This window comes from Homo sapiens, chromosome 8 (assembly GCF_000001405.40).
Source record: "Homo sapiens chromosome 8, GRCh38.p14 Primary Assembly".
NCBI lineage: Eukaryota > Metazoa > Chordata > Mammalia > Primates > Hominidae > Homo > Homo sapiens.
The window spans coordinates 41,812,717-41,826,210 of record NC_000008.11 but is presented as its reverse complement, the minus strand read 5'-3'; the positions used below and the strand labels follow the sequence as shown (position 1 = coordinate 41,826,210).

Here is a 13,494-nt window from a genome sequence, read left to right as displayed (position 1 = left end):
CACAGTCAGCAAAGGGAGGATTAGAAATCTCACAGCTGGCAGGTTGGGGGCACCAAGGACCCCTCCCCTCTATAGGATTGGATGCTAGGGGCATACATTTCCTAGTTCTGACATTCCCAAGTCATCAGGCCTCTTTGGATTAGGACTAAAGGCTTGTTAATTGCCTACAAAAAGTCACTAGTGGGCAGGACCAAGGGTGTATTAGTGTGTTCTCATGCTGCTAATAAAGACATACCCGAGACTGGGTAATTTATTAAGAAAAAGAGGTTTAATGGACTCACAGTTCCACATGGCTGGGGAGACCCCACAATCATGGCAGAAGGCAAAGGAGAGCAAAGGCACATCTTACATGGCGGCAGGCAAGAGAACATGTGCAGGGGAACTCCCCTTTATAGAACCATCAGATCTCGTAAGACTTATTTACTATCACAAGAACAGCATGGGAAAGAACCACCCCCATGATTCAATACCTCCCACCGGGTCCCTCCCACAACATGTGGGAATTATGGGAACTACAATTCAAGATGAGATTTGGGTGGGGACACAGCCAAACCATATCAAAGGGTAAGGTGAAATCCCACCACGCTGTGCAGTCTCCACCAGGAGAAAATGGACTTGTTTCAAGTGTTGAGCTCAGGCCTGGTGGTTCACTGAGAAGCTCAGCTTGGTCAACAGGACACAGTTCTCAGAGGCAGTTGCCACAAAGAGACTTGCGGAAACACTGAACTGTTGGTGGCCAAAACGACTTCTGACTGTACGGTGGACATGGGAGGCCAGAGTGTGATTAAAGTGAAAGTGTGACCCCAAGGCCAGTTCTAGGGGGGACAGAGCTGGCGAGGTTTTGCAGCTTACTAATAATTGTGATGAAAGATTAATAGAGTATTGATCATTTACATTCATAGAAGTACATTTCTTTACCTAATCCACAGAACAGTAACATCATGAGCTCAAAATCTTTTTAGCTAGAAGCCTGTGTTGTAGGAAACTAGAATGGAAGTGCATTTGGAAGAGCAAAAATGTCCTAGTCGGGCGAGCAGTGGCTGCAGCATTGACTCTGGGTCCTGAGCAGAATGCGGCCGAAGTTCCTGTTTCCACCTGGAAGTAGCCGGGCTCAGCCCCAAGGACTTCCCTCCCGTTGTGGCCTCCACGCTCAGGGGCCACTGAAGGGTCATCTTTAGGTTACTCTGTTGGTAACTTGTGAAATTTGGGCTCACTTTTTTGCCCCAGCCACTTGAGACCAGTGGAAGGCAAGAAATGGGGGCCCTTCACCCTCGAGTGGACCCCACCTCTAGAACCTTGGAAAGAGAGCCAGGCCCTACAGCCAGCCAGCCCCAGCTCTGCAGCCAGCCCTCCACACCCCCTGCCTTCACGCTCTGTGAGCTCAGGCACATCCCGGGGAGCTAGTGGGTCTTTCACCTACACTCCTGACCAGATGCCTTGAATGAGATTCAGGAGAATCCCACACTATGCTGAACTCTGCTGTCTAGAAAATAAGAGTGGCGAAGGCGGGGTCAGGGCAGAGGCTCCACCTTTCCTAGAGCCCCAGATTGCTTTCTCTGGGGACACTTATTTAGAATTCGTGACCCATCTTTATGCAGAATAGAATGCCCCCCTGTCCCTTGAATCATGGTATCTACCACCGTTTTGCTTAATCACAGAACAGTGACTTTTCTGTGGAAATAGAATTTCTGTTTCCATAGGAGTGGTGACATGAAAGCAGCGAGAATTTGCAAAGTCTTAAAATGAATTTGCAAAGGAATCATTTTTAATGTAGTTTGTGCTGACATGTTTCCAGGACTTGAAAGTGAAGAGACTTTTTGTTATGATTACTCATGGCACAACAAACATAGTAGGTGCTTTATAAACATGTGTTGCATGAGTGAGTTAATGACCCAAAGTCATAATAATAATTATAAGACTTTTTAAGTTTAAAAATACTGAAAAAGGGCTGGGCACGCTGGCTCACACTTGTAATCCCAGCACTTTGGGAGGCCGAGGCGGTTGGATCACCTGAGGTCAGGAGTTTGAGACCAGCCTGGCCAACATGGTGAAACCCCATCCCATCTCTACTAAAAATACAAAAATTAACCAGGCATGGTGGCGTGCACCTGTAATCCCAGCTACTCAGGAGGCTGAGGCAGGAGAATTGCTTGAATCTGGGAGGTGGAGGCTGCAGTGAGCCGAGGTCATGCCACTGCACTCCAGCCTGGGCAACAGAGCGAGACTCTGTCTCAAAAACAAAACAAGACAAAACAAAAAATACTCAAAAAGATACTATTTGCTACTTGGGGATACATATATATGTTGTAAAAGTATACAGAAGTGTCTTGAACGATAAATGCCAAGTTAATAATATTGGGTTAGGAAGGAGGTGGTGGAGAAGGTGCAGAGAGTGGACTTCACTGTGTGGGCAGTGTTTTATTTTTAAAAATTTTAAAATGTATTTTCAGACAGGGTCTTGCTCTGTTGCCCAGGCTGGAATACAGTGGCATAATCGTAGCTCACTGCAGCCTTGAACTCCCAGACTCAAGCAATCCTCCCACCTCAACCTCCTGAGTAGCTGGAACTACAGACTCATGCCACCATGCCCGGCTAATTTTTTTTTTTCAGTTTTTGTAGAGACGTGGTCTTGCTGTGTTGCCCAGGCTGGTCTCAAACTCCTGGACTTCAGGGATCCTCCTGCCTCAGCCTCCCAAAGTGCTATTTCTTGAGCTGAGTAGTGGATACCTGTGTTTATTTTTCTTTACTCATTTTTGTATGTCTTCAACATTGCATAATACATTTAGAAAATACAACTACATTGAAAAGTATCTCTAATATAAAGATTACTTCACTGGAGAAAAAGCGGAGGGTGGAAAGTTGAGTAAATATGTCTGTTTCTTCTCCAAGTTGGGCGGTTTTTTTCTAATGTTGTGCATTCACTCCCACTCCCTTTCTTATCTACAGCAACCACTTCTCTCCCCCTAGAGTGTTTCCAAGTAATTCTATCTTCAGCTACCCGCTAGAAGGAAAATACTCCCATGCGTCAGTACAGAGGCTCTTCATGAGATCTGAGCAACTTCATTTCTTACAGATACCACCTAATAAATAAAAAGGTCATGCGCCGTGTATGAGAGGAGACAGAGGTTTGTGGGCACCTCCTCTGCCCATATTGCAGAAGTTTACCCTTCTGCCTCCGCTCATGCTCAGAGCAGCCTGTCATGTAGGCGTTAGCTTTCCTGTTTCACAAATTGGCAAGGCAGGCTCAGCGGTGCTCAGCGACTACCCAGAACGAGGCACACACGGAGCGCCCCAGATCAGCCTGGGATAAAACAGGGCTGACATCCAAATCGCCCTCCACCGCCCCCGCTCTCGTGCTGTGCTTCCCGTACAGGGGTGCAAATCCAGCCTTACTGCTGGCTCTTGACCATGTGACCAGCGGCCCCTGTTGGTGGGATGGTAGCAGGGTCAAGGATCCAAGGCAGTAGCTCTGGAGGCCTGTGACCCTCTCTGGCCTTCGGGGGATTAGCTCATCATCCTCATTGCAAGCACAAGTCCTGCAGTCTCCTGGGTCCTTGAACCCAGCAGTGTACAGGGTACAAGGATGCAGAAAGAAGTCATTAGAGCTTCTGTGTATCCACATTTTAAAAATATCACCCTTTAAAAATTTCTATTTTGTTGTATGTTTTATATGGTACATCATGTATTGGCACATGATAATACAGGTATATGATTTAAAAATATGTTAATATGCGTATATTGAAGATACCTACTCAAAAAATATTTTTACTGATAGAAGTATGAAGTTTTAAAAGTTTAGAGATTGTACTCTGCCAAACGGATCCACCTCATTCCCAATCAGCCATCAGCACACAAGCGTGCTGTCTTCCAGTGCAAAGCTATGCCAATCCTGGGCTGAGTGAGCTTGGACGTGTATATGGTTGCAATGATGCTCTTGGGGATGTTGGTGAAATCAGGACAAATTAGAGAGGTCAACTGGAGACAGGTAGATGTCTGTCTCTTTCTTTCTTTTCTTTCTTTCCTTCTTTCTTTCTTTCTTTCTTTCTTTCTTTCTTTCTTTCTTTCTTTCTTTCTTTCTCTTTCTTTCTCTTTCTTTCTCTCTCTCTCTCTCTCTCTCTCTCTCTCTCTCTCTCTCTCTCTCTCTCTTTCTTTCTTTCTTTTGAGATGGAGTCTCACTCTGTGGCCCAGGCTGGAGTGCAATGGCACAATCTCGGCTCACTGCAACCTCTGCCTCCTGGGTTCAAGCGATTCTCTTGCCTCAGCCTCCGGCGTAGCTGGGATTACAGGAGTGCGCCACCATGCCTGGCTAATATTTTTGTATTTTTAGTAGAGATGAGGTTTCACTATGTTGGCCAGGCTGGTCTCCAACTCCTGACCTCAGGTGATCCACTCACCTTGGCCTCCTAAAATGCTGGGATTACAGGCATAAGCCACCGCGCCTGGCCAATGTCTCACTTTTCAAGACAGCAGATTTCATAAGGCCAAATTCCTGAAAAAATGTTAGAATTGATTATTAAACAGATGGTTTATCACTGGTTAGGGGAAAAGCAGTGTTCCCTGGCAGCTAGCATGGGTTCACCAGGAGGAAGTCATGGCCAACTAAACTCATTTCCTTTACGATACTCAACAATGGCTTATTGGGAGAAGTCATTCATTCGTATGGCCTTTGACGCATGCATGTGTTCAGGGTCCACTTGGCAGGTAATTACTGAGCACTTATTTTGTTTAAAGCCCTACGGTTGAATGACATCTAGTGATAAATATATTGCAATCTCTGTCCCCTAAAGAGCTTTCTTTTTAATAAAGGAGATGACCACGTACACAGATAACTATAGTACAACAAAGTACTCCCTAAGTGCCACAAAGTGATATAAACAAATAGACCATCCTTTTTAGCAAGGAAAGAAAATGTTACAACTCCTATATATATTTATTTTTTGATATCATATTTCAAGTTTTTATCTATTTTGTATATGTTGTATATTGACAAAGTCTCTCATGATTTTGTAGACTGATGGGGCTCAGGACATAGCACCCTAAAATATGACCTTAGGAGACCAGAATATGCCACCCCCAAATATACTTCTGTAGCATATTTCGAGTTGGTTATTCTGAGAAACTGCAGACACAGGAGTAGCACTGAAAAGCTGTTGCTTTGTTAAAGAAATTTGCATCTGTAAAGGAAATCTACGTTAGTAAAATTGTCTATATCAGGGAGAGAGTTGCTCCAGACAACTTTTATTGCCCAAGGGACTTTTTGTCTGCCCAGCAAGATAGCTTTTGTTCATCATACATTTCCTCCCCTCGCCCTCCCACTGGTGGTCACCACCTCTCTGCAGCCCCGGCCCCTCTTCCTTTGTGTAGCTCAGGATGCCGTATCAGCTTTAATAATGTGACCCTTCATCAAGTCTCATATTTTGTGGGACTCTCGTGTGTACATATGCAATTAAACATGGTTTTTCTCCTGTTAATCTGGTTTATGTCAATTTAATTCCTATCCCAGCCAAAGGACCTAGAAGGTGGGGAAAGCCCTGTTTTGCTTCCCTACAGTTGGTACCCAGTGTGGGTCATCACTGGCTGGGACTAGCTTGCTCTGGGACCCCTGCAGCTACAGGATCCTGGGACCCCTGAGAAAACACTGGCCACAGGTAACATTTTGTACCAAATTAGGCTCCTGGATCTGTGCCTGCCGAGTGTGGTCAAAATGAGAGTGGTGGCTGGGTGTGGGGGCTTATTCCTGTAATCCCAGTGCTTTGGGAGACCCAGGTGGGAGGATTGCTTGAGACTAGGTGTTTGCGACCAGCCTAAGCAGCATAGGGAGACCATGTCTACACACACACACACACACACACACACACACACACACACACACACACACACACATTTAGCTTGGTGTGGTGGTGGACACCTGCAATCTCAGCTACTCAGGAGGCTGAGGCAGGAGGATCACTTGAGTCCAGGAGTTTGAGGCTGCAGTAAGCAATGATTGTACCATTGCATTCCAGCCTGGGTGACAGAGTGAGACCCCATCTAAAAAAAAAAAGGTGAGATCTAAATTTAAATTAGAAAACGTGTGTGAATTAGTTCCTGTGGAGCAACTCTGATGTTTTGGGGGAGTATGAGTATTTTTATTTTCTGACTCTCTCCCTCCCAGAGATGGTCATTGTTTTCCTGCCTGTGTCTTTTGTGTCATGTGTCATAAGGAGGAGACTCCCAGGGCGGGATCAGTGGCATGGGCCCTACATAAGCCAGTGGTTTGAGCTGGCCTCACAGGCTGCTGAGTTCATGATTCTCACCATATTGGTGTCTGTTTAGACGAACTTTGCTGTGTGTCCCTGAGACAGAAGAAAATGGATGAGATTCTCCTTCCAGCTTGTTTTATGTTGTGAGATCCTGTATTTTTGATCAGTGAGAATACTCTCTGGCCTCTGCCAGGCTGGGGTGCATGTGTCAGCTTGTGTCAGGAGGCCAGTGAAGTAGGCTGGGAGCCCAAGTCGCAAGCCATAAGCAGCGTTCTCTCTGTGACTGTGCCTGCTTTCAGGGGAGTTTGTCTTCAGAGGTCCCAGTTCTTAAGGGCTTTTGTCATCCCAACCTTTGATTGCTTGGTTAGCGCTGGGAAAGTCCAATCCCAGTAGGTCCTGCCTGGCATCATAGATTGACAGGCTGGTGCCTGGAGGTTCCCCATGTGTCCAAGGGAGGCTGGAGGCACCATTTTCACAAACACTATCCCTTCCACCTGTGGCAATGAAGGTCTTAGCTTTCTTCGTCTGTCTGTGGGAATGAACTCTTCAATCATTGGGAGCTGCATCTTCTCTGCCTACTTTCTAAACCTGCAAGTTACCTCTGGGTCTTTCTTTGAAAAGACTTATTGGAGCTGAGTGGGGTGGCTCAGCCTGTAATCCTAGTGTTACAGTCTCGACAGTGCACCACAGTGTAGCAGTCTCTCATTGCCTGAGGTAGTACCTGAAGTCCTTTGTCTCCCGACCAAGAAATTTAAGAAGCGTGGACACCGAGGGTGAGGTTGGAGCAAAAGTTTAACAAATGAAAGAAGAAAGCTCTCTGCTGTGGAGAGGGGACCCAGAAGAGGGTTGCTGTTTTTACAGTTGAATGCAAAGGCTTATTTATGAGAAACCAGTGAGGTCTGGGCATCAATGAGGCTGGTAGATCTACCCTGTCCTTCTAGTGTGCATGCGGGCCCTTAGCTTGAGTTACTCCATATTGCTTTGTTACCTTTACTGTGCATATGTTAGGGAACAGAATTTTCCATTGCCGGCATGTCTGGGCAAGTTACCTGTGTAGGCTTTCTTATCTGTGCAGCTGTGGGCGTGTCTTAGGCAAGCCCCGCTGTGCACAATCCCTTATCTGTGCCTGTGGACTGTTCTTTTGTTTGAAAGAATTCAACCAAGGACACACTTTAATTGCCTGCCTGACCAGGTTTTTTCCATTCTCCTCTCTCACTAGCATTTAGGGAGGCAGAGGCAGGAGGATTGCTGAAACCCACGAGTTCAAGACCAGCCTGGGCAATATAGTGAGAAAGGAAAAAGAAGAAAGAAGGAAAGAAAGAAAGAAAGAAGAAAGAAAAAGAGAGAGAGAAAGAAAGGGAAAGAGAAGGAAAGAAAGAAAGAAAGAAAGAAAGACTTATTGGTTTGAGTCACTACCTCTGGGATAAATAAATTGGCTATATTTGAAAAAATTTTTAGAGAGCTCACATCCTAAACAACTGTATTACTGATACCTATGGTATAATCCAACTGAAAAGAAGACATAATGGATTTAATGATTAGCTTTAGGGCCCCTTTAGCAAGATTAAAAGCAGAAATCAAGTTTAGAACCAAGTTAAAATTGTTTAAATTTGGCCTAAATTCCTCTTCTGTGCTCTCTTATATCCACAACTCCCTGGTCCTGACCCTCTGGAAGAACTCTGGAGCTCTGGGCCCCTGATTTAAAACTTTACTCCTCCAAATCTCCATTTTCTCAGTAAATTCCATTAGCTCAGGCGGGAAACATTTGTAGGAATGGGTTTGAATTGAGTCTTGGTGTTGGGGTACCCATTAGTTATTAACCCTTTCCCTCCCGTGGATAGTTATTGCTTTCCTATACGTCTTCTTTTATTTTTTCTTCCCCAAGAACTTTGTTTGACTTTGCAGCCAGCGGGGGCACGTGGGTTATTGGGCCTGTATGTGCAGGTGGCCATCCAAAAGGTTGGAAATCTCCAAGAATGTGGCCGGACAGAAACATGGGTGCAGCCCATTGGCAGCTGGCACACCAACTCTTGCCACTTCTCAGGAGCATCGTCTCAGGGTTTCTCTCCGTGGCTGTCTTTGGGAGTGGCCCTGGATTGTGAAAGGGCTGCATCTTTTTTGTCTCTCTTTGGAGATGCCTCATGCATTCATGGTTCAGTGGTGAAAAGCATGTTTGTTTTGGTCTTGAGTCACTTGTTAGGTATATCTTCGGTTTAGAGCTTTGGTTTATATAAAGCATGATAGGAATTTTTTCCTTTAGCTCTTCCCTCCTAAGCTAAAATGGAACTGTGTACTCAGAAAGAAAGAAAACAGTTTATTAAAACTTTTCTAGACAAATAGCTCTAACTCTAGAACAGAGGAATATTTTGGTTTCCATCCTAGTTGGAAATCTGCTTCTTGATATAAAGGAGCAAACTGAAGATCGGATGGATGGGTCAGCACCTTGACATTCAGGCTGCAACCCAGTTCTTAGGGGAATTAAAAACAACTGTCCTCGTCTTACACATTGAGGCTTTATCACAGCAGGAATGTGCCTCTGGAAGCAATTCAAAGCCCACCTAGCCTTCTTACCAGTACCCAAACCTCACCTGTTCATCTCAAGATGTTTGCAAAAACTTCAGCAAATCAGAACACTGGAAACAAAAGTGTCTTGCATTTAAGAAAAAGAAGGAAAAGTTTTAATAGATTTATCCTAGACTTCTGATAATAGGCAAATGTGCCCCCCAAAACTCCTTCCTGTTGAAAACTTGAATTCTTTCTCTGTGCTTTTGAGATGTAAATTTTCTAACCTGTCTTATCTAAGATCTTATCAAGATCCTTCTTGAAGTGCAAACTTCAGGGAGATGATTCTCAGGTTAAAAAGAAAAAAAAAAAAGAAACTATTTGGAAACTGGCAAATGACAAGTCTTGAGTACAAAAGCATGAGCCACCTGAGCAGGGAAACTTCACTGGTCCCATTTGCCAGATCCAGCTATTCTCTTATAAGTGAGTTTTGAATTATTGTATCTGGCACATGGTTAAAATTTAGTAAGATCTGTTTCTATCTATATGGTTATGTATGTCTAAGTATGTATGTATGTCATGTAATGTGATATTTTCTATCTCTGGATAAGGTCTATTTAATTGGCTTAAAGAAAAATAAGTGTTTATAAAAATTGTTCTCTCAGAAAAAGAGAAATTAACCAAAGTGCTTTTCAACTTCATGTAACCGATAAAATTTGGTAAATAAGAATATTATTGGCCAGACCTGGTGGCTCATGCCTGTAATCCCAACACTTTGGGACGCTTAGGTGGGAGGACTGCTTGAGGTCAGAAGGGCAAGACCAGCCTGGGCAACATAGCAAGAACCCTGTGTCTACAAAAAATAAAAAATTAGCTGGGTGGGGTGGTGCATCCCAGCTACTTGGGAGGCTGAGGTGGGAGGATCCCTTGAGCCCAGAAGTTCGAGGTTGTAGTGAGCTATGATTGCACCACTGCACTCCAGCCTGGGTGACAGAGCAAGACCTTATCTCTAAATAAGAAAAAAAAGAATATTATTTGTTTAATTAAAACAGGCAAGTCTTCAGAATTGTTAGCATTAAATATAATGCAACCAAATTTTCATCTCTTAGATGTTTAAAATCGTAAGACTATGGGTTCAACCTAAGAGCAACTGTGCAAGTAAAACTGCAGTGTCCATTACTGTGTGTATATCAATCACATCAGTAAGACAAAAGTCCAATTATTTAACTTTTTATGTTCTTGCTTTTGTGACTCTCATAACATGCAGGTGCTATGAAAATAGTTAATGGAAATAGCGTGAAATGATGGCTAGCTTTATCTAATGTCTTATTTAATTTTTATGAATAATCCAAACATAATTGTTAAGAACAAGTGAATTACACAGATGTAAGAGCGATAAAGGTTTATAAATGGACTTTTAAACAGTAATAATGTTTTATAATATGTCTGTTTAAAAAGGTTTCCCAATCTCTTTGGTAAGTATACCCTTCGATATCTTCATCGAATGTCTAGTTTATTTCCAAATAAGATAAAGTACTGAAACATTAACTGGTGAACATAAATTTATTTACCTTTGGGTTCTTAAATTTTATAGAGACAAAATATACTTGGGTTAGTAAATATTTCCTGTTCCACATTGAAAAAGTATTCTATGAGGAAGCATATATTTCTAGAAATGATGAAATATGCAGTCATCAAATGTTATGTGACAGTTCAAAATTGCTTGCTTCCTAGGTTTTCACTGGAAATTAGGGTTACTAAGTCTTAAAATTCTAATAACATAATTAAAACTACTGTAAATGATAAGAAAAACAATTCTGCATAGAAAGTATACAAGGAAAGTAAGTTGTTATAAGGTATGAGGTTTTTTTTGTAGAGGGAAAATAACTTTGTCTAGTTTAGAGGTTATCAAAAGGTTGTTTCAAAATGAAAGAAGGAAAGATGGGGGAAAACTGAATGGACATGAAGTTGGGAAGAAAGAGAGCAAGAGGGATCCTATAGGGTCAAACTGACTAAAATGGAATACATTTATTATAACGGTTTTTAAAATGAGTCTTAATATCAAAAGTACACTGATGCAAAACTAGAATTTAGTCTTCTCTTCTAACAACAAGGGTGTTTTGTAGTCTTAATAAGAGATAGTGAAATTTTTTTTCCACCTTTTGAGTGATCTGCCTTAAAAAAAAGAGGATTCTGTGTTTTATCAAAATAATTTCCTGTGCTTCATGTTTTCATTATTAGGTCTTTGATTACTTAAGAAAACTGAGTCTCTCAATATTAAAAGAGTTAAGGCTTTTTATGATTATGTAAGCCTTTAATATTTGCCTTTAAGATCTCATGTCACTTTGATTTTACTTCATAATGATCTGTGATCCTATTTAATCAAATGTTTAAACCTTTTGATATTGGTACTTTCCAAAATCAAATTCAAAGTTAAATCTTTTTGATCTCGAAATAACTTCGGGATTTCTCAGATGGGCCCCTGGAAGTTTTCAAAAGCAAATTGTTCTGTCTTCTTATAAAACATACCTACTAAGCTAATTGGCCTTATTTTATGTTACATTGGCATGGAAAGCATTATCAAGTAGGAAATGATGTTTAACCTTCTTTGAGTTATGTGGATATACGTTATTACATGCAATTCCTAGAAATCTGCTAAGTTCCGATAAATCAGTCATGATTCTAGTTATTATTTTAAGATGTTGTTTGCCATGGAAATAAAATGAATAATAAAAAAAAATAAGAATCTAAAAATAAAAAATAAAAAAATAAAAATAAATAAATAGCTTGTCAGGTGCATCATTATTATAATGAAATCTCATCCGATCTTTAACCATGGCTATTTTAAGTCTTTGTCATCCATTTATTGTTTTACTTTAATTCTCTAAAAGCTTCTTTAAGGAGATTCATGGAAAACACTCTGACAAATATTTTGGAATACAGGTTTCTGATAACTTTATGATCATACCACCAGACTGCATAGTAATCTCCAGAATTCTAATAAGGAAACTGATGGATTCATGAAACTGCTAATAACATGAAGCAGAATAAGAACTAATTACATGCAAATGAATGAGCCCAGGAGGATACTTTTTTTTTTTTTTTTTGAGATGGAGTCTTGCTCTGTTGCCCAAGCTGGAGTGCAGTGGCACAATCTCAGCTCACTGCAAGCTCCGCCTCCTGGGTTCACGCCATTCTCCTGCCTCAGCCTCCTGAGTAGCTGGGACTACAGGTGCCTGCCACCACGCCCGGCTAATTTTTGTATTTTTAGTAGAGACAGGGTTTCACCATGTTGGCCAGGCTGGTCTTGAACTCCTGACCTCGTGATCCACCTGCCTCGGCCTCCCAAAGTGCTGGGATTACAGGCATGAGCCGCCACGCCCGGCCTCTATGAATTTTTTAAAATGGCAGTATAGTTATTTGCATAAGTGTAATAAGAATCTGTTCTTGTAACAGGACACAATTGAAAACACTGATTATGTTACCAATGCTTTGACTGGAATGTCACATTTTATAATATGCCAGACAACTTTAAGGAACTAAGGTTGACTTTATGGAGCCAATGAAGCCCTTGGAAAAACAAACAACTGATGTGGTACCTTGAATACATAGTTCATATTGTTACATTAAAGGTGGGTAAGGAATGTCACTTCTTGGCAGGCCCAGGAACCTCAGAATATTTTAGGGATCTTGAAAAGAGAGGAATTCACCCCAATCTACAGGTATTACAGACGAAGTTTGATGATGAGTCCTTTGCTTGGCTTCCTAACCTTAATAGGATTTTAAAAGTCCAATCTGAGATTCCCTATTAAAAGTTCTAGCAAAACAGACTTCAAAGAGCTTATATGATCAATCACCATTCTTGCTGCACTTTTGTAAATGCTCAGGCCAAGTTTCAGAAGACTAAAGTTATTTTGCAGATATATTAGTCTTACTGTAATTACCTTTGGTAAAATTGGGGGTGACTGTAAGAAAATCCATGTTTCAGTAGAAACTATAGGGTACCTGTTATTATATTCTGGCCTTCATGTTTCTTGAGATGTTTATCTACCTCTAAACTGTACTGGAACCTGAATTTTCTTAATATCTGGCTATGACTCTACAAGCTAACATTTCAGAATTTCTCCCACCTTTCTGACTTGGAATCACTAAAAACAAAAGCTGTCCTTTTCCAGAAGCCCCGCAAGCTGAAGCCAGATGACCTGATGTGAACTTTGGAGAAATCGCCACAACATGCTGTGTATGGATAACCTTTGTGCCTATTGCCCTGTGGGCCACTTAGATCGCCAGAGACATTCAAACTGCAAAATGTGCTTCGTTATAACCCACAATCTAGACATTTTCTCAACTGGCTGCCCTTCAGACTTAGAAATTTGGTTTATTCTCTGCTCCAGTTATTAACTTATATTTTTCTTTTGTTGCCATAGAAATGACGCTTTGGTGGGTTATTGGACAAACTACCAACTCAGTTTCTGGACTTAAAAACTTCTTGGGAGAGTTTCAGCCTGTCCGGGGCCTGTTAGGAACCAGGCCGCACAGCAGGAAGTGAGCAATGAGCCAGGAAGCATTGCTGCCTGAGCTCCGCCTCCTGTCAGGTCAGCGAATGCATCAGATTCTCATAGGAGTGTTAACCCCATTGTGAGCTGTGCATGAGAGGGATCTAGGTTGCGCACTCCTTATAATTTAACTAATGTCTGATGATCTGAGGTGGAACAGTTTCATCCTGAAACCATCCCACCACCTCCGGTCC

At 42.1% G+C, this 13,494-nt stretch overlaps 1 protein-coding gene across 1 annotated transcript in view, besides 3 other annotated features; it reads left to right on the top strand.

Moving 5' to 3' along the window:
* Positions 1-13,494, top strand: part of ANK1 (ankyrin 1) — a 243,517-nt gene that overhangs the window by 70,531 nt on the left and 159,492 nt on the right. The window lies entirely within an intron of this gene.
* Positions 6,640-7,839: an enhancer, noted in NCBI's record as "MED14-independent group 3 enhancer chr8:41675890-41677089 (GRCh37/hg19 assembly coordinates)". NCBI's record gives its function as "activates an origin of replication core promoter dependent on BRD2, BRD4, P300/CBP and CDK7 cofactors, and independent of MED14, by STARR-seq in HCT116 cells {active_cell/tissue: HCT116}" and the evidence as "EXISTENCE:reporter gene assay evidence [ECO:0000049][PMID:35650434]".
* Positions 6,767-7,533: an enhancer, noted in NCBI's record as "NANOG-H3K27ac-H3K4me1 hESC enhancer chr8:41676196-41676962 (GRCh37/hg19 assembly coordinates)". NCBI's record gives its function as "activates a minimal SCP1, AML or CMV promoter by ChIP-STARR-seq in naive H9 embryonic stem cells {active_cell/tissue: H9 hESC(naive)}" and the evidence as "EXISTENCE:reporter gene assay evidence [ECO:0000049][PMID:30033119]".
* Positions 13,166-13,460: an enhancer, noted in NCBI's record as "tiled region #6451; HepG2 Activating DNase unmatched - State 5:Enh, and K562 Activating DNase unmatched - State 1:Tss". NCBI's record gives its function as "activates a minimal TATA promoter and a strong SV40 promoter by Sharpr-MPRA in HepG2 and K562 cells {active_cell/tissue: HepG2 | K562}" and the evidence as "EXISTENCE:reporter gene assay evidence [ECO:0000049][PMID:27701403]".